At 49.3% G+C, this 22,790-nt stretch overlaps 1 protein-coding gene across 1 annotated transcript in view, besides 3 other annotated features; it reads right to left on the bottom strand.

Moving 5' to 3' along the window:
* Positions 1 to 22,790, bottom strand: part of NKD1 (NKD inhibitor of Wnt signaling pathway 1) — a 100,854-nt gene that overhangs the window by 58,832 nt on the left and 19,232 nt on the right. The window lies entirely within an intron of this gene.
* Positions 1,726 to 2,311: an enhancer, noted in NCBI's record as "OCT4-NANOG hESC enhancer chr16:50622018-50622603 (GRCh37/hg19 assembly coordinates)". NCBI's record gives its function as "activates a minimal SCP1, AML or CMV promoter by ChIP-STARR-seq in primed H9 embryonic stem cells {active_cell/tissue: H9 hESC(primed)}" and the evidence as "EXISTENCE:reporter gene assay evidence [ECO:0000049][PMID:30033119]".
* Positions 18,677 to 19,176: an enhancer, noted in NCBI's record as "H3K4me1 hESC enhancer chr16:50605153-50605652 (GRCh37/hg19 assembly coordinates)". NCBI's record gives its function as "activates a minimal SCP1, AML or CMV promoter by ChIP-STARR-seq in naive H9 embryonic stem cells {active_cell/tissue: H9 hESC(naive)}" and the evidence as "EXISTENCE:reporter gene assay evidence [ECO:0000049][PMID:30033119]".
* Positions 19,177 to 19,678: an enhancer, noted in NCBI's record as "H3K4me1 hESC enhancer chr16:50604651-50605152 (GRCh37/hg19 assembly coordinates)". NCBI's record gives its function as "activates a minimal SCP1, AML or CMV promoter by ChIP-STARR-seq in naive H9 embryonic stem cells {active_cell/tissue: H9 hESC(naive)}" and the evidence as "EXISTENCE:reporter gene assay evidence [ECO:0000049][PMID:30033119]".

The following is a 22,790-nucleotide window of genomic DNA, read 5'->3' as shown; positions in this document are numbered from 1 at the left end:
ACTGTTTCTAAACATCTTTAGCATTCGTTGGTTTTAACATATAGGAGGGTGTGAACACATGTGGGGATTTTTTTCTTCCTCCATCAGGCATAGGCCAGACTTACATGAGGATCTGATGTGTTCTAATATTATTTGAACAAACACAAAAGTATCAGTATGGGGAGATGAGGTTAAGCCCAAGAGTTCTGGAAAAGGTTGGGCCTCCTCCAAAAATGGGAAAGCTGGATTGGCAGGAGAGGTCACCTATAGTATCAAGGTCAAAAGAGTGTTCAGGGCCAGGCACAGTGGCTCATTCCTGTAATCCCAGCACTTTGGGAGGCCAAGGCAGGAGGATCACTTGAGCCCAGGGGTTCAAGACCAGCCTGGGAATCATAGCAAGACCTGTCTACAAAAAATTTAAAAATTAGCCTGGCATGGTGGCATGCAACTGTAGTCCCAGCTACTCAGGAGGCTGAGGCAGGAGGATTGCTTGAGCTCAGGAATGGGAGGCTGCCGTCAGCTGGGATGGTGCCATTGCACTCCAGCCTGAACAACAGAGCAAGACCCTGTCTCAAAAAGAGAAAAGGAAAAAAAAGAGAAGAGAAAAGAGAGGAGAGGAGAGGAGAGGAGAGGAGAGGAGAGGAGAGGAGAGGAGAGGAGAGGAGAGGAGAGGAGAGAAGAGAAGAGAAGAGAAGAGAAGAGAAGAGAAGAGAAGAGAAGAGAAGAGAAGAGAAGAGAAGAGAAAAGAAAAGAAAGCATTCAGCAAAGGCCTCCAACATGATCCATTTGCCCGCTGCCTTTATAGGGGAGCGTGAACTACCCAGACTTGGGCCACCACCTCTGGAGGGATGAACCCTCGGGGCGGCTCCACTAATTACAGGTTGGAACTAGCAAGGCACAGCCCTGTCTTAATGGTGCCCCCGACCAGGCTGACTAGAGTGGGCTGCAAGTGCCAGCTGCCCAGAGCTTCCACCGTGCAGCACCTCAGGGCATGCTGGGCTATAGAAAAGCAAAACCAAACAAAACCCATGAGGAAGGCGTGGGCTTAAAAAGCTCTTTTTCACCACCAGTGAAGTTTAATGCTTAAAAAGGAAGTCAAGAAACTCGACTGGTGCTTGCGTCTGAGGGACTGGCGCGAGGAAACTCATTTCCGTATTCTCTCTACTTTCGTGTCTGTCTGAAATGTTCTATGAGAAATAGTATTAAAAAGGGGAACTTAGTCTAAAGAACAGGGGCTTGAGTTTAAACCATCTTGGGAGAAGCAGCCAGGCCCAAGGCTCACCAAGAGTCACCGCGCAACGAGGAAGATCTGAGTGCTGGGGTCGGAGAGGACATTAGGTTTCCTTTAGGCACAGTGAGGTCACAGCAAAATAGGAAGACCAAATGGTGTGCCGCACTGACCATGTGCCAGATGCCCTCCCAAGCGCCCCATGTTTATAACTCATTTAATCGTCACAACAACCATGAGGCAGACGTTGCTACTTCCCCATTCTACAAACAAGGAAACTGAGGCAGACAGTAGTTAAGAAATATGAGGCCAGGCATGGTGGCTCACGCCTGTAATCCCAGCACTTTGGGAGGCTGAGGCAGGTGGATCCCTTGACGTCAGGAGTTTGAGACCAGCCTGGCCAACATGGTGAAACCCCATCTCTACCAAAAATACAAAAATTAGCCGGGCATGATGGCGGGCGCTGGTAATCCCAGCTAATCGGGAAGCTGAGGTGGAAGAACTCTCTTGAACCCAGGAGGTGGAGGTTGCAGTGAACCGAGATCACACCACTGCTCTCCAACCTGGGCAACAGAGCAAGACTCTGTCAAAAAAAAAAAAAAAAAAAAAAAAGCAGAAGAAAAGAAAAGAAAAGAAACTTGAACAAGTAGCTAACAAGTGGCAGCACTGGGATTTCAACCCAGCCTACCTGGGCATGAGGCTGAGCTCTAGCCACCCTGCTGAGCTGCTGCTTCATTTCAGCCAAGAACAGATCTCAGCCCAGTGGGGTCAGATGCAGAAACAATGGCAAAACAATGGATTAAAGCTATAGCCTCAACAGCATAGCTTTGGCATGGGCTTATTTGCAAGGGCAGACAAGCTGATAACTACCGTTACCTGCTGTTAGGGTATGTGACCTGTCATTCTAAACTTGCAGTCTCAGTCCCAGTTATTTAAGTTAACTTGAAATCAGCATTTAAATCTTTAAGAAATACTGGTTCCTCTATTAGATATGTAAGTTGAATGAACTGAGCAATAAACAAAATACTGAAGGGTGTAAGTTTTCCTTTCCATGTATGAATGTGGCCTGGACATTAAGGAATCCCATCAGTACCAGGCCACCAGCCATTCCCGTTTCATTTGCTGTCCACCCAAATCAGCCACACCTGCCCTGAGGACATCTGCACTAGGGCAGTGATCCCCAACCTTTTTGGCACCAGGGACCGGTTTTATGGAAGACAATTTTTCCATGGATGGGGGCAAAGGGAGAGGGGTCGGCAGACGGTTTCGGGATGAAACTGTTCCACCTCAGATCATGAGGCATTTGATAGATTTCCATAAGGAGCACACAACCTGGATCCCTTGTATGCACAGTTCACGATAGGGTTTGCACTTCTGTGAGAATCTAATACCACTGCTGATTTTGACAGGAGGCAGAGCTCAGACGCTCACCTCCTGTAGTGCTGCCCAGTTCCTAATAGGCCACAGACCTGTACCCACCCTTGGCCCAGGGTTTGGGGATCCCTGCTCTAGGGAACTCTTTGGGATTCCATTTACTGATTCAACTCTGGACTTAGGTCCATGATACATCCCAGCTGTAGAAGCAGAGGGAAGTCCAGAGGTAAAGCATCTCTCCTTAGTGACCCACACCTTCTTTCAGATCCATCAAGATATATGCAAACTGCAGAGCAATTTTTCCATGTCAGACATAGAAGCCAGAGAACAAAAGTTACGTGGAAAGCCTAGATAATGCTTTTCCCCCCAAAGTAATACAATGTTGGGCTATGTTAATAGAAGTATTACACCTATATTTTGGGAGGTGACGATTCTACTATTTTCTACTAGGTTAGGTGCCACCTGCAAACAAAATCTCATATATAAAGAAAGACATAGCTACACCAGCCTTGCGATTCAAAGTGTGGACTAAGGGCTAGCAGTCTTGACATAGTCTAGGAAGTGGTCAGAAATGCAGAGTCTCAGGCCCCATCTACCCTACAAAATCAGAATCTGCATTTTTGCATCATCCCCACACAATTCATATACACATTCAAGTTTGAGAGACCCTGGTATAGGGATGACCAGAAAGATGACTGCATGATTACAGCTAATATTGATATACCTAGCACGTACCAAGCCCTATTTTAATACATGTGAGTACTTTATATCCACACAGCTTTCGAGTCGTGGAGCTGATGGCATAATGGTGAAGGGGTAGGACCTCAAGGAACAGTGAGAACTCACGACGACCTGAGAGATGGGATGGAAGAAGCCAGCTTCCTGCCTTCAGACAGGGAGAGAATGACTCCCTCACCAGAGGAAGAAGGACAATTCTCCATATTTCTTGAAGGCAGAGCAGGACTAATGACACATAAGGCCCAAATTCTCTATCATTCCAGGAGCTAGAGTTGTCCAACAAAGGACAATCAAGGGAGTGAGCTTCCTGTCACAGGAGGTATCCAAGCAGATGCTGGGAGGCCTTCTGTACAGGATGCACAGAAGAGGATTCCCATTTCACAAAGGAGTCAGTCTTGATGGGTTGAACTTTTCTCTCTAATTGCAAGGCCAGGAAGGCATCTTCTATATCTACTGGGAACCAGAAGGTGGGTGTGCTCCCATTCCCCACCAAAAGCTGCCTGTGGGTTGCTATGGCCTATGACATACTAGGAAACCTCTGTGGTCTCAAAAGTCGGAACAGAAGATGGGGCCTATTATTAACCCTTCAGCCCCAGCACCTCCCTCAACCTAGACTGCAGACACGTGGCTCACGGTGGTCCTCAGGTAATAAGCAGAGCTAAATGACCCCTGGCTGGAGATGGGAGGGGAGGTAGGGAGACAGCCACCCACCCCCCGCCCAAACAAGGAGACGCCTCTGTGACTCAGTGATCCACGCTTTCTCAAACAGGGAAACTCTTTGAAGAAGTCCCCCATCCACTCACCAGTGGGCCACCACCTTGACTAACCAGATCCCACGTGCTGGTATCTACAAGTGACTGCAAGTTTTGCTCTGTTCACAGAAGAACGAGGTGAAAATGAAAAAACTTTGTTGGGAATTTGCCTTCTAAAATGTCAAAGGCCAGGGAAATGGACCTGGCATGGAGGCAGCAGGGCTGAGGGTCAGAGTCTGACCACCGGGGTCAAACTTTCAGCTCCACCCTGGGTGGAGGGTGAATCTAAGACCTCCCTGAGCCTTATATTCTTGTCTGGAACATGAAGATGAGAAGAATCCCTGCCTCGTGAAACCTTAGAGCAATGCCTAGCATGCTGTAAGCACCACATCCAAGGAACACCAACAGTGGACAGGAACAGAACCCTTGTGAAGAGGGTGCTTTACTGAGTATGTCCGTTAAACAGGGCACAGACTCGATGAAATGACAAACACACAGTGATCAGCACGTCTGTGACACCCAGGGGTCACTTGTTCAATGCTAGCTGTTATCACGGTCCTTCCCACTGCTATCAGTTATTACTATTACCAAACTCCCAATGGAAACAAGACCACAGTGTCACAGAGCACAGTGTCCAGCCCAGGAGGAGGAGGTACAGAGAGGAGGAATGCAAGACTCTGAGGGCTGGGGCGGGAATGACTTGGGGCGTGGGGAAGGCCCTGCCTGGGTAAACGCTTGGCGGCTGGATCTTGGAGGCAGCAAGGCCTCTGGAGAGCCAGCTCCACGGCCTCAGAAGTCAGGCCAGCTTTCAGTTCCCGGCATCCGGGCCCCACGTCCCCCATCGGGCCTGCTGCCCAGGGCACTCAGATTCTTCCAAGGCCCAGGATGCACGTCCAAAGCAGCCTCTCAGACTCAGGCCCCGAATTCCTTGGCCGGCAGGGTTCACGTCTCCATGCGGCTGACAGAGCCCAGCTGCCGGGCGCCTTCTCCTCTGCTCCCACCAAGGCCCTACCAGCCCCTGAGCCCAGGAATTGGGAAGTGCCAGCATCCCCAGCTCCTGCCCCAGCCACGTAATCAGTACAAGCACCCATGAGGGACTTTAGCTATCCCCCTTGGTTCCTCTGCACCTGGACAGTGGCAGGTACTACATGTTCAAAATCGGAATCTAATGACAGGTTTCCCCATCCACCTCCTTTGTGACCTTCTCCAGGGACTGGAAGGAAATCCCATGAAAGAACAAGTTTTACAGAAAAATTAACAAAAAAGAATCCTCTCTGTTCTCCAAAGCAGCATACCCCAAATCTGGCAGCACTCGGACTCCTGAGGACAGCAAGGGAAAATGCCATGCCTGGGCTCGGCAGCAGGTGCCTTCAATCGGGGGTCCGTGCAGCCAGGCCCACATCTCGGACCTCAGTCTGGGCGCCTGGGCCTCATTACGATCTACAGACGACAGCCCAGAGCCCTCAGATACACAGGTGCTATAGGGTAAGTGTAGGGGTGTCAAGAAGCTGCTGTCCACACTCATAAAGGGCTCAGCAGGTGACATCCTAAATGAAAGAGACCCTTGTTTATCCATGGAGGTCAAGGGAAAGAAACCAAACAGCCCCAGTAGCTCTCAATTCTCCATGTGCCTATGGCCTTGGGTTGCTTATAAGCTGGCTGGTATTTTAATAATTGCTAACATTTACCAACGGCTACTCTGTGCCAGACACTGTGCCACATGCTTTACATTTATCCCCTTTTCAAACCCTTGCAACATCCCTTCTATTATCATACCCATTTTACAGATGAGAAAACTGAGGCACAGGTTAAATAATGCCCCAAAGTTACACATTTGGAAAGCAGCAAAGGTAGGACCTTGCCCAATTCTAGGACCTATGGGCTGGGAAAAGACCCTTCAACCAAACTGGGGCAGGCTGATTACATTCATGTACTAATTTGTTCATGCCTAACTGATTCCATACCCTTTTGGGGGAGCCCTCCCACACTGAGACTGGGCTTAGCCACGTGACTTGCTCTAGCAGACGGGACGGTAGTGAATGTGATACAGAAACTTGATAAGGCACTGGGGAGTCCACTTCCTCTCTCAGACCCTGTCCCTGCAATAAGAAACGCCTGGCCTGCTGGAGGGATAGGACATACACAACAAGGAGAGGCCACTGGTCCCAGCCAATTCTGATCTAGACCAGGAAGCTGTGGCCAACTGTCTTGAAGCATGAGCAAGCCCAGCCCAGATCAACCCAGCCCAGGTCCATACAGCTCCCACCTACTCGCAGATGTGGGAGGAATAACTAAGTCTTAGGGTGGTTTGCAACATGGCAACAGCTAACTGATATGCCAACTGCACTGCCTGTTCTCTTTTGACACAAGAAAATAACTGCCTGAGAATTAAGAGAATGAGTGAGAAAGACATTTAAATCAAAGGGTTTGCTTTAAATGAGGGATTGTCAAAAAGTTACTGTGTTTAGATCAGGATTCAAATTTTAGAATTCTTGACAATACCCATGAAGGGATCAAGCCACATCAGGAGTCACAACTCTACTCGCTCCATCACACCTGTGTCATGTCCTTTAAATGGAACCCTTTATTGATCTGTTCTCCTCTTTTATATACTTAAAAGGCAATGCTCTACCATGTGCCAGGGGACACGGCATCTTTCTTCCATGCCAGCCTGACATGAAGCTACACCTCTGTGTCAGCTATCCATCATTGTGTAAAAAAAACCGCTCCTGAACTTAGTGACTTAAAACCATCATTTTACTATCTTTCCTGATGCTTTGGGCAGACTGGCCTCAGCTGGGCAGTTGTGCTGGTAGCTCCTGAGTCTTGTGTGGTTGCAGGGGGAGGAAGGCTGGGGCTGCTGTCATCAGGAGTTTGTCTGGTCTGGAATACCCCAAATGGCTCATGTCTGACGCCTTGGTAGGGGTGGCTGGAAGGCTGGGCTCAGCTGGGACACTAATTGGGACATTGGGAGAACTGGGCCTCTCTCTTGTCCTGTTCGGTCTCAGAGCCTCACTCTCCACGTGACCTCTCCAAGTAGTTTCTCCAGCAAGGTAGCTGGACCTCTCATAGGGCAGCTTGGGGCTCTCAAAAGCACAAAAGCAAAAGCTGCCAGGCTTTCTTACACATCCCTCCCACTGCCTCTGTTGGTTAAAGCAGTTACAGGGGCCACCTAGATTCCAAGTGGGGAGTAAACTCTACCTCTCAGTGGGAGGGCAACAAGTTGCAGCCACTTTAAGCCACCAAACCTCTCACCTCCTACACGCGGCCCCCTCTGCCTAACACCCAAGTCGGTAGCAGCACACATCCTGAAATGGAGCAATAATGCATTTTTTTTTCCCGGGATGGAGTCTCGCGCTGTCGCCAGGCTGGAGTGCAGGGGCGCAATCTCGGCTCACTGCAACCTCTGCCTCCAGGGTTCAAGCAATTCTCCTGCCTCAGCCTCCCAAGTAGCTGGGATTATAGGTGCCCACCACCACATCTGGCTAAGTTTTGTATTTTTAGTAGAGTCAGGGTTTCACCATGTTGGCCAGGCTAGTCTCGAACTCCTGACCTCGTGATCCACCCACCTCGGCCTCCCAAAGTGCTAGGATTACAGGCGTGCGCCACTGCGCCTGGCCACAATAATGCATTTTTACCCCAATGCACACTGGGCAGCAGGCCTGGGATGGGTCTGCAGCATATGCATTGAGTAAACAAATGGTGTATTCCCAGCAGAACCACAGATAATTCGTGGATGAACATCAAGACAAAGGTAGCAGCCTTGGAACCCCAGAATCCCTGCTGTGTCACGAGAGTGCCCCAAGGTGCCATTCCAGAATGAATGAATGTGTGGGATGACCACTGAATGGCAATGTTCCTCTCCCTGCACATACACAGGGATGTCTGGAAGGTATGAGGCAACCACATTCTTTGCAAATACCTCAGTCTAAAAATGGGCACCTGCAAGATCCAGACTCCCCTGGGAGGGTCCACTTTAGGATATGTGGGAGGGGGCAGCTCTCTCTCAGGGCATTTTGAATCTCATTTTGGCTGGGGCTCTAGGCACAGACCTGAGGGACTGCTGTAGGGAGGACAGCCCTGCGAGAGTCCTTAATCATCTAACTAAAACCACGTTCAAGGCATAATTAGCAAACAGCTCCAGATTCATGATCTGAGGCCCACTGACTCTAATGGACTAATTAGGTGAGACATCCTTGGGCGGGCAATGCACTCTGGCCTTCTCAGAAACATCCCAGAGAGCTCAGCAGATCAAGGCTGGCATCTGGTCCATGAGCTGCCTTACGATGGCTGGGCAAAGAGACAAACGCATTACTGGGCAAGAACTACACACAGCTTCCAGAGATCAACAAGGCAATCCCTTCCACCCCAGCAGCCCCAAACAACCAATCCTTGCAACACTCAGATCCTGGACACAAAATCCTTTGCTCTGAGCAATCAGCAACATGCTCTCTGCCTCCTGAACCACCCTGCCCTTTCCAAATCAAGGCTAACAGCAATAAAGGGCACGCATGCCTACACACACAATTCTGCCCTCCCCAGGTCCCACTCCTCTGTAAGCTAACAGCCACTGAGAGCTGCTACAAGACAGCACCTCATCATCCTGGATCAGAAAAATAAATCACCAGCTCTGTGGAAGCCCCAAAAGTACTCAGGGCCTCAAATCCACCACAGATAGCAGACACTTGCTGTTTAGCCAGTTCTCTCCATCCGAGGTGCCTCTGAGTAAGTGGCAGGGGTCCCACAAAGCAATAGGAGCTGGCAGAAGGCAAAGCCTTAGCAAAGGGAAAGTCTGCATCTTTGGGAAGCCCTCGATGCCTCTGACATAATAGCAGGTACAGGCAGGAATGCAATAGACATGCTGAGTGAATGCAAGAGAAAGCACCCGAGAGAATGAGAGCACTCAAAACCCTGCAGCACTGTTTGCCAAAGGACTCCCTGGCCAGAGAAGCTTGGGAAACTGGTCCCTAAACTGAAGGAATCCTGAGTAATACGAAAACTCCATATTCCAGATTCACAATGCACATTAAGACAGTGAAGGCTCTGAGAATTCCTGCAGTTAAGGAACTTATTTAATGGGTAGTTGCAGCAATTGTTTCACAACACTAATTTTGCAAAGAATCTTTTTTTCCCCAGAATCTCCAGTGGGATAATATATTTAGGAAATATTGTCCCTGGTAAGCAATACATCAGTACAGGGCAGATACCGCAAGCCCCAATCCCATAGGAGCTAAGGAGCTAAGTTATTTAAATAAGTTAAATGGGGGCAGGTTTAATATTTGCATAAAAGGCATATGGAAACACTCTTCATCTCCATGAAGAAATATGCTCTAATTTTTCAGAAAACAACCATTTTGGTTCATCTTTTCTCTTCCATCTTTGATAGCAATTGTTTCCTATGAGAGAAATAGAAACATTTATTTAAAAGCAATATAGTTCTATAGAAAACCAATGTGCAAAGGCAATGATGAAAAAAACAGAGAGAAAAATGAGAAACAGGGTTGGTGGGCACTGCAGGGGCTCTGGGGGACACAGGCCCTGTCCAAGAGCACAGCCACATTCAGCTCCACTTGAATATTGCCAGGCTAAGAGGTTGATGCCAATGATATTAGCTTTTCCAATTTTTAAAAAGAAGTCAGAAATCTGGAGTTCTGAGTGAAATTCCTCATTTTTAAATGTTGGCTCAAATTGTTTAAAAAATTGAAAGGGTCAAACAAAACATTCCTGGGAGCTAGAGTCAGCTCACCAGGTTGCAATTTCTGCCAAAAATGACAGAGTAACGCTCATTCGACTGGTGCTGCCACCCGTTTCCCAAGCTTCTCTGGCCAGGGAACCCTTTGACAAGGGTTTGAGTACCCTTATTCTCTTGAGTGCTTTCTCTTGCATTCACTGAGCGTGTGTACTGCATTCCCTGCGTGTACCTGCTATTATGCCAGTTGCATTGAGGGCCTCCCAAAGACGCAGACTTTGCCTTTGCTAAGGCACCGCTCTAAGCACTGGGCCCTCGCCTCTCCTTGGGCAGGCCCTGGCATGTGTGGGAAGGGGTGAGCACACAGTGTGAGGCCAGAATGGCCAGTCCATCAAGGGGATCCATCATGGTGTCATGACAACACTCCCTAAGGTCCTTTTCAGAAATAGAATTCATTCTCAAATCAAAACTAAAAACAGAAAGCCCACCTGGAGAGGCCAGCAAAGGAAGACATAGTCCACGGGACTGAGAGAGTGCATGTGTAGCGGGTTGGGGTGCATGCTTAGTGGGTTAGAGTGCATGTGTAGCGACTAGCCGGTGGGACCAAGACAGTGCGTGTGTAGCTGGTAGCCTGTGGGACTGAGAGAGTGCATGTGTGTAGCAGGTTAGGGTGCGTGTGCAGCAGGTACCCATGGGACCAAGAGAGTGCATGTGTAGCAGGTAGTCCGTGGGACCAAAACAGTGCATGTGTGGCGAGTTAGAGTGCGTGTGTAGCAGGTAGCCCAGGAGACTAAGAGAGTGCATGCATGGCAGGTTAGAGTGCATGTGTAGCAGGCAGCCCACAGGAGTAAGACAGTGCATGTGTGGCGGGTTAGAGTGCGTGTGTAGCGGGTAGCCCGCAGGAGTAAGACAGTGCATGCGTGGCGGGTTAGAGTGCGTGTGTAGCGGGTAGCCCGCAGGAGTAAGACAGTGCATGCGTGGCGGGTTAGAGTGCGTGTGTAGCGGGTACCCCGCAGGAGTAAGACAGTGCATGCGTGGCGGGTTAGAGTGCGTGTGTAGCGGGTAGCCCGCAGGACTAAGACAGTGCATGCGTGGCGGGTTAGAGTGCGTGTGTAGTGGGTACCCCGCAGGAGTAAGACAGTGCATGCGTGGCGGGTTAGAGTGCGTGTGTAGCGGGTAGCCCGCAGGACTAAGACAGTGCATGCGTGGCGGGTTAGAGTGCGTGTGTAGCGGGTAGCCCGCAGGACTAAGACAGTGCATGTGTGGCTGGTTAGAGTGCGTGTGTAGCGGGTAGCCCGCAGGAGTAAGACAGTGCATGCGTGGTGGGTTAGAGTGCGTGTGTAGCGGGTAGCCCGCAGGAGTAAGACAGGGCATGCGTGGCGGGTTAGAGTGCGTGTGTAGCGGGTAGCCCGCAGGAGTAAGACAGTGCATGCGTGGCGGGTTAGAGTGCGTGTGTAGCGGGTAGCCTGCAGGAGTAAGACAGTGCATGTGTGGCTGGTTAGAGTGCGTGTGTTGCGGGTAGCCCGCAGGAGTAAGACAGTGCATGTGTGGCGGGTTAGAGTGGTAGCGGGTAGCCCGTGGGACTGAGAGAATGCATGTGTAGCAGGTTAGAGTGCGTGTATAGTGGGCAGCCTGTGGGACTGAGAGAGTGCATGTGTAGCAGGAACACATGCACAATGACAGCCTTATTAGACCCTCATAACAGCCCATGTGATATGTGGCTGAGGCTTTATTTAAATATTTCTTTCTTTGTTTTTAAAGATGAGGCTCATGGATGTCAAGTGACTTCTCCAGGTGATCATAGTGACATTTGCATTCCCAGAGACAAAAGCAGCCCCTGATGAGATAAGGCAGTGACCGAGACATAGCCAGTGGTCTTGCATCCAGGCCAGCCAGCTACTAAGCTGCCCAGGAGAACTACAGGCTGCAGAAGGCCTCCTGATCACCTGCAGAATCATAGGAGATGGAATGCTGCTCTCACAGATTTCTCAGAAGCTGACTGACAGACACTGCAATATGAGAAATGTACACAGTGTGGGTATCTGATCAGAACCTGGGTGTGAGTCTCTCAGCAGAGCACTAGTAGATCCCCAGGGGAACATCACTCCGCACAGTAAAAGAGGCAGAATCTTCTGGAACATGGAGCTGGACATGGCCAGCTGAAGAAGCAGAAGCCAGCAGAAAAGGAGGCTCAGGTACCAAGGGCACCTGCAAAGGGAACAACGACTCAAGCTGGTACTATGGCAGAGATGGCTACCTGCCCCCAAATATTCCTACTTCCTCTTCCACAGTGTAGAGTTGTCAGCAGAAGGTAGCTGCCCAGATGGGACTACATTTCCCAGCACCTCTTTCATCAGGGTGGGGCCATGTGATTAGTTCTCACTAATCGAACATGAGCAGAAGTGGTACAGAATGATTCACAGTCAGGGATCTTAAGCAGTGGGAAGAGTTTTTCTACTCTCTTATTCCCCTTTCACCAAGTAGAAGCAGAGAACTCAGAGGCTCTCACAGATGAACAAGCCACAACATGGAAGGAGCCTGGACCACTAAGTCACTCATTTTCCAACCAAGGTACCTGTATTGGACTGGTCCATGAGTGATAAATAAAATTCTAAACTTCAATGTCAAGGTGTCTTTACTACAACAACCAGAGTTGCCCCAGCTAAAACACAAGTGGAAAGAAAGAAGAATACATGGGTCAAGAAAATAAGTCCTCACTGGGGTAAGAAGCTCAAGGCAAAAGCAATACAGGAAAAAATCTATCTGCTAAATCAGATCAGTCACCACCTCCTACATACAATGCCTCCCACCTGAATGCCTCTACATAAAGGTCAACTTTAAGACCCCTGGGTGCTTAGCTATGCCTACCTTGATTAAGAATGGCTTACAAAGACAAATACTGCGTGATCTCATTTATATGTGGAATCTAAAATGGGCAAACTCAAAGAAGCAGAGTGGAACGGTGGTTGCCAGAGGCTAGGGAAAGGAGGAAATGGAAAGGGGTGATGGCCAAGGGGTACAAAGTTTCAGTTATGCAAGATAAATAGGTTCTGGAGATCTACTGCACAGCATCGTGCCTATAGCTAACAGTACTCCATTATATATTTAAAATTTTCTAAGAGGGCAGATCTTAAGTATTCTTTCTCTATCTCTTTCACACAAATAATAATAATAAAGAGGGCAGGAGGAAACTTGGGCAGATTATAGACATGTCTATGGCCTTGATGGTAGTGATGGTTTCATAAGTGTATGCTTATTCCCAAACCCATCAAGTTGTATATATTAATTAAGCATAGCTTTGTACAAGTCAATCATATCTCAATAAAGTGATTTTTTAAAATAAAGAATGACTTATGAAAACTCATTTAGGGAAAAAAGAAGGTTATTTACCAAATATACTCTACCCACCCACCCAACAACCCTCCGCTGGGAAGGTATTCCTACTATCTCCATCAACAAGTGAGGGCCACAAGGTCAGGAGGTGTAGTGACTTGGCCAAGGTCATGAAACTGGTAGAGGCAGAGCTTGGTTTTAACTTAAGACCCTATTCCTTCCACCAACCCAACCTGCTCTGAATGGTGTAAAATATTTGTATCATTTCCCACAAATCACTTTCTGCCTTGTATAGGGCCAGCCAGGTATGGTGGCCTCCGCAACACAATGGGCACCTCCTGAAGGCAGGGACTCAGGCCATCCATCAGTGCAGTCTCACAGGGCCCAGCAGGGGCCTCTCATCACTGACTGCAGGGAGTCACATGCTGCTTGACTTCATGCCCTCACCTGTTGACGGGGATGGTAGGAATACCTTCCCAGTGGGTCACTGGGTGGGTGGACAGAGTATACTTGGTAAATAACTTTCTTCTTTTCCCAAAATGAGTTTTTATAAGTCATTCTTTAAAAAAAAAAAAAAAGCACTTTATTGAGATATGATTGACTTGTAAAAAGCTATACTTATTTAATACATACAACTCAATGAATTTGGGGATAAGGGTACACCCATGAAATCATCACCACCGTAAAAGCCACAGGCATACCCACAATCTCCCCAAGTTTCCTGCAGCAGCTCTCAGGCCAAATTCTGGTGCATTTTCAGGATACTCAGGAGGCTTCCACCCCAAATCCTGTCCTCTAACCCAGCTCTCTCCACCAAGGATAATCAGAAACATAACAAAAGGCACTGCTTCCACTTCTGAACAATCACCATTTGATCATAGCAATCTGGCTATGGATGGATAATCTTATGAGTCATTCATTATCAATATTTAAACCAGGAATTACCATCACTAGGGGTTACATCTTCTTTGCTATCTGGAGGAGGAGAGGAGAGGGAGTGACTGAATGTCTTCATGTAATTGGACATGGGGGTGAGTATAGCTGCTCCTCCCAGCTCTGCTCTGAGGCTTGCGAAGGCAATACCCACATCTGCCCACCATCAAGCCTCCATCTGACCAGGGCCTGTTCAGGGCCTGGGTGGGACCCTCAGGAGAGTAAGGGCAAACTAGCATATAGTCCCAACAAAAGGCAGGAATAAGCCAAGAAGCTAGCAATCAATTCTGGGAACTCAGAATCTTCTAGAATATTCTTGAGCCCAGGTAGGAGGCTTGGTGGGCTCTGCAGCCCAGATGCTCCCCTACGGCAGGGTTTCTCCACCTTGGCACTGTTTACATTTGGGGCCAAGGTCACTCTTTGTTGCAGGGGCACATCCTGTGCACTGCAGGATGGTTGGCAGTATCCCTGACCTCCACCTGCTAGAGGCCAGCAGCACCCCCAACCCAGCCATGACAATGAGGGATGTACCCAGATATCGCCAAATGTCCTGTGCTACCATGGAGAACCCCTGCTCCAAAGGATGCAACAAATGGTGGCCACACCAGAATTTAGGCCTGGTGTTTTCCCATTTTCCATTTTCTTCTATCTGGATTTTTATGTGATATGTCTCCATTTTTAAAGTTTGGCAATTAATTAAATATTTTTATGCTGCTAAAGCCAAAAAGCATGTGTAAAGGTCACTGGCCAGAGCCTCCACCAAGCCCTCTGCTAAGTCCAGATGGAAAATGAAAAAGCACATAACCTACTTCTCAGTGTTCGAGCTCCTGAGTTCAAGAGCAAGTCCGTCCCCACAGCCCGGGGAAGGAGCCCTGGAAAGGGAGGCCCACGTTATTTCTGGGGGGAATATTGCCACAAGATCACCTGTCAAAGGGGCTCTTCAAATCCCTTCTCCCAGGAACACAGACAACCCCATTTGTTCTTTCTCCCCGAAAATACAATTACCCTCGCGCTGATGTTCTGAAAACCAGGCCCTAAGCCGGCTCTGGCCTATGAAGCAAACACTTGTGAACCACCCGCCTATAAAACCAGCCAGCCTCTGGGCACTGGTGAATCTTTTAGTGCCAACGTTACCCCAGAAGACTGGCCTCCCTATCTCTCAGCCCCTAGTTAAAGAACTTGATCTGAGCAAGTTTCCTTTCCTTCCAGCGAAAATCTGGGTTACTAGGGGGAGGGCAGTAGAGAATCTAATAAATCTTAGAATATACTTCTTGGCTAAAGGAAAAAAAAAAAAAACACCTACTTACTGGTGTCATGAAACAACTTTCCAGCTCTCTCAGAAGACAGCTGGGTTCAGAAGTTACTATTGTATTCAAGCTGTATTAAATCAAGCTGTGAGAAGCACCAGGGTTATGCTTTTAAAGAATGCCCTAAGCCAATTCTGATGTTTAAAGGGAAAAGGAAAAAGTTTCCAAGGCTTCCATAAATTCCAAGGAGAGGAAGTTTCAAACTTGGGTGTTCACAGACCATGGCCCCCACATAGAAACAGCTTGGTTTCATGTATTTGGTTTTACTGTTCAAACTTTAGGGTCTTTTAACTTTTTATTTTTACAGGGCTCAGAAGAAAAGGGAGAGGGAGCCATTTGCTCACCAAGTGCCAAAGAAAACCCAAGCGCCTCCCTCAGAGGGCCTCTGCCTGGGACGACAACGAGGCAAGGAGGTGGGGAGGGGACCCCCTGGCTCCTGGCACGCCCCAGGCACAGCTCCTCCTGCCCGCTGGAGGCCAGGCCTGCGAGGCCAGCTGCTAATGAACTCCAACAAGATCAATCCAAGGCGAGACCACGCTGCACTGCCATTCGGCCGTGCCTGGGCCTCGGCCACCAGCAGCAGGAGGAGCAAAATGGAGAGTTTCCAAAAACAAGATGAGGCCCAGCCAAGTCCCAAGGAATCCTAAATTTAGTCCCTGGGGGAAGACGGCTATGTCGACTCAGCCAGGACACCAGTGAGGCCCAGCATCCTTTGAAATGTCAACCAAACTAAACAGGCCCTCCCAGGACACCTCAGCCCCCAGTTCTGACTCACACCCACATTTCCAATCCCTAGCCCCCACTGTCCAAGGCCTGTGTACCTAGGAGGTTGGGCAAGACAAGGGAGGTATACCCATTTGACAGGAGAGAAAATTGAGTCCCAGAAGAGGTAGTGGTGAGGTAGAATGAACATAGGCAGTCCTGCATTTGGATCCAGCATCAAGTTCTATCACCCAATACCCATGTGACTAGGAAGAAGACATTCTGCCACTTGGAGCCTCAGTTTTACCATCTGTAAAACGGGAGTGAGACTATTTCAAAAAGTACTGAAAAGACATAAAATTTTAAAATTTCTATGTATATATAGACACACATGCATTATATATACATACATATATGTCATATACATGTGTGTTAAAAAGAGACTGCTGGGCTGCACCCCAGACATATATAGTCAACAGCTGTTGTTTGTGCCAGCTCAGCACCCTCACCCCCGCCCCTGCTCCCCTCTCAGCCCCTGTGGCTGAGGCCAGCCCAACCCGTTTCCGTGAGAGTTCTCAGACACCTAACTGAATCAGAATCACCAGGAGCTGAACCCAGGTTATTCAATTTTCCCCAAGCTATTCTAATACACAGAGACACTTTTAGGAGCAGCTGCCAGATAAATTCAGAAGATCCAAGTGGCTAAGCTCAGAGAGGGTGCGACCCTCCTCCTAGCCCTCAGGAAGCGGTACATCTGCAAAGGGTCTCAGATTCTAAAGGGCTGTCAGGGTGGGACCCTCTCCCAGCTCTGAGCCAAGATGCAGAACCCAGAAGGGGAGGTCCTGAGGGGCAGAGACCAGCAGAACTCTGATCTGACCCCAGAAAGCACTTGCTGGCTCTTTCCCCGCAGCACCCGGCTTCACACTGCAGGGCAGGTCAAGGGGATGAAGAAGAGCCCAGAAGCTCCAAAGGGCCTCGCTTTAACCTGATGGGGGGAGAAGGAACAGGGAATGTCCACCTGCCCACAGGGCAACTTCAGCATCAGGAGGTCTCCATAGCAACCCTCCAGCTGGAGTCATTCAGCCACCTGGAGACCAGACAGGGTGCAGGGGGGCACCACAGGGATTGAGATTGTGTGGTGCTGAAGGTAGAGGTACGGGTTCCAGCAAAGAAAGAAATAACAAAGACCTTCCCATGGCGGGGAAAAGACTTCCAGAAAGGACTTTCTTCTTGGAGGGAATGATAATTAGTCATAAGAGCAGCCTTACTGAGCACCTCCAGGCCACACAGTTTTACTGATTCACACACCAACTCCAGGAGGAAGATTCAACTACTAGTTTCGCTTTACAGATGGGGAGACTGAGGCCTCAGAAACATTAGGAAAGTTGCCTACATTTGCACAACTGCTAGGCAGCAGGCCCAGAACTCAAACTCATCTGATTCCAGAGCCCACTCTCCCACCCTCTTCTGCACGGGGCAGGTCAGCACCCCTTCCGACCTCATGATCCTGTTGGCTCCAGAGACTGACTTTGGTCAGCACTCTTTCTAACCTCCACATCTCCTGGGCTTGAAAGAAACTGGCTTTGGATCTGTCTCTGTCGGACTCAGGGACAAGCTCAAGCCCGGACACCGTGCTGCACCCAAGCTGGGTAAGAAGACGAACCATAGGGGTGGTCAGCACTCATTTTTAGAGATGGGCAAACTGGTGCAGAGAGGATTTCTCTGATTCCCAGAGTCCCACAGCAGATCCCCTGAACCCCTTCTCACCAATCTGCCGCCTCCCCTGAGTTAGAGCACAAAAGACAGGGCGGAGCAGACAACTCCACTACCCCCAGCCATCGAGCCAGGCCCACGTAACACACGGGGTTCATTCCCCAAAAAAATCCAAGATGGAAGCAACTACCCCCACCCTCTAGTTTACAGACAGGATAGCTGAAGCTCAGAGATTGAAAGAACTTGTCCAAAGCACACAGCAAAGCACTTTCATTCTCCAAGGATTAACAGATGCCTATATGTGTCAGGCCCTGTGCAAGGCTGTGGAGCCCCAGGAGTTAATGACAATATCCTGCCCCCTGCCACCAGAGGGGTGACAATACCCTGCCCCCTGCCACCACAGGTGAATAACAATATCCACAACTCCTTGCTGTTCCTGTGGGAGGTGAGCAGTAACTCAACTGCCACATGAATAAGTCACAAATGACCAATGGTGGTGAGCATTCCAAGGAGGCAGAAGGAACAGGATGTTAGGAGAAGGAACCACAGTGAAAGCTGCTCCAAGGCACATGTGAGAGCTCCATCCTGGAGGGTGAGCTGGGGAGAACAAGGGAGAGTACTGGGAAGCATCTCCAGCTGCAGGAATAGAGCGTGCAAAGGCCCCGAGTTGGGCATGTGATGGGTGTGTTCCAGAAGGGAGCAGGGCGGCTGGGACGGAGTGAGGTGAAGGGCGGCCGGGGATGAGAAGCAGGAAAGGGGCAGGTTGTGCTCAGCCTTATGGACCATGGGAAGGAATTTAGATGTTCCTCTAAGGACTGTGGGAAGCCGCAGTAGAGATTCAAGTAGGAGAGGGAGTGGATCTCATTGGGTTCTGCAAAGTCAGCCTGGCTGAGGCAGGGAGAAGAAATTCAGAGGCTGTTGGAGTCCTCCAGGAGCAACAGGATGATGGCTTAGAAGAGGATGGGGACCATGGTGAGCAGTGGGCAAATCTGAGATTCACAGAGTCATAGATTGACGAAAGGTGTCCATCTGGCAGCTCTGCAGGGAAGGAAGGGGAGGAGTTAGGAATGACCCCCCAGGATGCCTCTCTGAGCAACAGATGAATGGAGAGCCCGTCACTGGGACTGGGAGGCTGGGAGCGCAGATGGGTCTCAAGAGTTGGTGGGGAAGGCTGCTTCCGACAGGCTGTTTGGGTGTGTGAGCGGCAGTGAGTGGAGGGCACCCAGGTCTTCGGAGCACTTGAAACTCCCAAGGTCCCTACCAACCCCCAAAGCCTCCATGTGCACAAACCCTGGTTCCACCAGGCTGTGCGGCCAGCTGCTCGTCCTCATCCTGGCTGCATTGCTGACCTTCCCCTCTCCGGATCACATCTCCCCACAGGAGGCAGAGCCCTGGCCTCTGTGTCTCTCAAACAGTGATCTCCAAAGACAGAATTTGGGTTTGTTATAGGAGGGCTGCCACCTGCAGCCCCCTAGGCCAGAGCCCATGTCACTGACAATTTCCAAGGCCTTGAAAGGGACCTTTAATCCAACTGTCTGTGTTGAGCAGGCCATGGGCAGCCCCTCCTTCCCCTCCACTTTCCTCTCAGCTCTCCCTTCAAAGGCAGCCCCAGGGAGGAGATGTCCAGCACAGCCTGGCCCTGACAGCGGGACAGGTGCACACCCAGGAGGGTCCGCCATGAGCCCAGTGAAGGATACCACCAGCCAGCCCTCAGTGCAGAAGCCTCCCTGTGCCTGGCACAGGGCTGCTATGGCTGGGGTGGGGGCTACATCACTCCAATACCTGCCAGCCACATTCCACCCTCAGCACAAGGTGCTGTACAGATGTTACCGCACTCCTGGCAACACATTTCCCAGATGGAAAAACCAAGGCTAATAGACATGGTCACTCCATAGATCCTGGGAGTGGAAGTCCTACCCCGTTCTGCCTCCAAAGGCTGGCCAAGCTTGTCACATAGCACGTGAATAATAACTGTCCTACGTATCACCTGCTTTCTGTGGCTAGCTACGGAGCTAAGTGTTTCACAGGCATTCTCATCTGATCTACATGACAGCTTCACGAGCTAAGCACCATTTTCACTGCCATTTTACAGATGAAGAAACAGAGACACAGAGAGGTTAAGGCACTCGCCCAAAGGTCACACAGCTAGTAAGTGGCAGGGCCAGCATCTGAATCGGTCCTGGCTATCTCTGGGGCCAGTACAGTGTATCTCAGTTCCCATTATCTTCCCTCTTCATACAGAGCCTGTGTAGACCATAACATTTTAATATCACAGGTATTCTGTGGATCTGTTTATATACTGGATGTATATCTGTGTTTTATACTTAAAAAGACTAAGACTCCTTTGCCCCCCAAGAACCAATTTCTGCCTCCTTGGGGTCAACATCATCCCCATGGAGTCAAGGCCAGTGCTGTGTGACAGGAACAGAATACAAGCCACACATGTAATTTTAAATGTTCTAGTAGCCACATTAAAAAACAAAGAAACAGGTGACATTAATTTTAACAATGTTATTTAAGCCAATATATCCAAAATACCGACATTTCAAAATACTATCGTTACATGTGATTTTTTTAAATTATTAATAAAAAAAAGTTGACATACTTTTCCTTTTCTACGTTAAGATTTTGAAATCCCCTGAGCACTCCCAATCCAGACCCGCCCTATTTCAAACGTTCAGTGGCTGCATCACGACAGAGGCTGCCATGGTAGGCAGTGCCCGCCCGGCTCCAACCACTCTGCTAAAGCAATGTTCTGCATCTTCCCCAAAACTCCTGAAAATCCACCTATGCGGGACTTCCTCCATCCAAGGAACCCCATCACTCCTAACCAGAGGGTTCCACTTAATAAGTTCTTGGACCTCCTACAGACAAGACACCATGCTAAAAAGCTCACAAGATACAACAAGGAGTAAGAACTGGCCTCTACCCTCAAGCAGCCTACAATCTAAGTGGGAGGAGAGGAGTGAAATAATTACCAACCCTACTGCACACCAGGCTCTGGGGCTTCTCACCCATTCTCTTAATCTTCATACTCATCCTGGGATATGGGTTCTATTATTACCATCCCATTTTATTGGTAAGGAAATTGAGGCTTGACAGACCATGGATTTTGCCCAGGGTCTACTTATTTGACTTGGCCAACCCAGGGCAGAACAAAGATGTTAGCAAAGCCATGTGGAAGCTTTTAAGAACAAGGAGGGCAGCTTCAGAGAGGGCTTCAGGGAGGGCGTGAGTGAACTTGGAGGCAGCATGAAAGGGAAGAAGGAAGCAGAGAGCCAAGGATAAAGCAGGGGTGTATGTATTTGCAGGGAACACAGAAGCAATAAGTGCATTTCTCATGGGCGAAACTGCACAAGCAGAACCTTGGAAGCAGGAAAAGGGGCCAGAATTCTGGGCGCTAAAACGCTGTAGCATGAAGCTGGTGCACAGCGCATGGTATGAGGATAGTCCAAGTTCAATCACCCAGACATGGGAAAGCATCCACTGCCCAACCCATAGACTATAATGTCAGCGGAATCTGACTTCCCAAAATATTTATCAGAAGGCGCTGGGCACCAGATTCCATTCTGTAAACCTGGATGCTGTTCCAAAGCTGAGATGATAGATCTCCCAGAGAACCAGATAAACTCTCCCTCACATTCTAAATAATGAAGGGAAGGTGGGGAAGAGAAGGAGACAAATCAACCTTCTCCAACTGCCCAACTTAAAGGGATTATGGTCAGAAGCAAGACGGGAGCAAGGGAGCCATCTCCTTATCAGGCACACGGCTGCTCCAGACACAGACAAAACTTCTAGCATGCATCCTTCTTCCACATTGGGGGAGAGAAGCACCCAGTCCTAACACACAAAGGTCAGTCCCATCCTCTGGGGGGGCAGAATTTCAAGCCAATCTGTTTCCCCCTAATTTCCAAGAAAGAACAGTCCCTTCCATGTACAGAGGTGCTGACTGGAGCTCAAAGAATGAGGCCCATAAATCTCCAACCTGCTAAGGAGGCCCAGATTTCAAACCTCCCAGTGCGCCGGCCCACTGCACTCAAAGGCACAAGCAAAGGAAGCTGTGGGATGAGTAGATTCAGGAATGTGGATGAAGGAAGACCCCCCTCTCTCGCTGCCAACGATCACCATAGACATTATGGACTGAATAAATGAGGAAGCGCTTGACACAGATGCTCTCACTTAATTCTCCTGAAAGCCCATGAGGCAGGTCCTGCTGTTATCCCCAGTTTACAACAAGAAATGACAGAATCACATGGCTGGGAAATGGCAGCACCAGCTCTAACCTGGACTTCCTGTGTCTCCAGCTGGGGCCCCCCATAGGCTGGCCTACCACTCTCAGTTTCTTCCCCTCTCTGATATGCGGTCCTGGTTTCAAGCCCAGTGCTAACCACGTCTCTTCCCTGTTCAACACCCTTAGGCTTCCGTGTGCTTGCAAAATAAGCCCCAAATCCCCAGAGATGGTTAAGAAAAGGTAGGCGGGTGCTCAGGGGCCCCCCAGGCCTTCGCAAGCCAATTCATGTCACCCACTCCCAACTCCAAAAAAATGCAGCCCACCCCCTCAAAGGGCCCATCCAAGAAGCGGGCTTTCTGGCATCATATTTTCCTCCCACAGAACGTGAGAATAAAGGGCTCTTTGCTTGTCTCCTGAAATAACTGGCTCTCGCCATAAAGCAATCTTCTGCCCAGTAAAAATATTTCTGTAAAACTTGGTAACTCTATCTGCGGTTCCTTTTCTGAAAGTCAAAAATCTTGGGGAGTGAAATATGGCAGAGGCCAGTTTTATGACAAGCTCATGAAGTCATGTCTACCCGAGACAGGCCCTCCTTAACACTGTGATTAATTTGCTGTTAACCACAGGGACTTTGTGTCTTAATATACTCAAAGCAAAGCACCAGTTCACATTTCTACCAGAACAATACCCACCACCCCAGACCTGGTGTCCAGCCAGGCAGGTAGCGGAGCCATGGCTGGGATCTGGGGCCAGAAAGGACTCAGTTGAGATCGGGGACTCTGCCAAAGGGCCATAACACACAAGGGAGCTG

This window comes from Homo sapiens, chromosome 16, assembly GCF_000001405.40.
Source record: "Homo sapiens chromosome 16, GRCh38.p14 Primary Assembly".
In the NCBI taxonomy this organism is placed as follows: domain Eukaryota; kingdom Metazoa; phylum Chordata; class Mammalia; order Primates; family Hominidae; genus Homo; species Homo sapiens.
The sequence above is the reverse complement of the archived record's forward strand: the minus strand, read 5'-3'. Positions and strand labels throughout refer to the sequence as shown.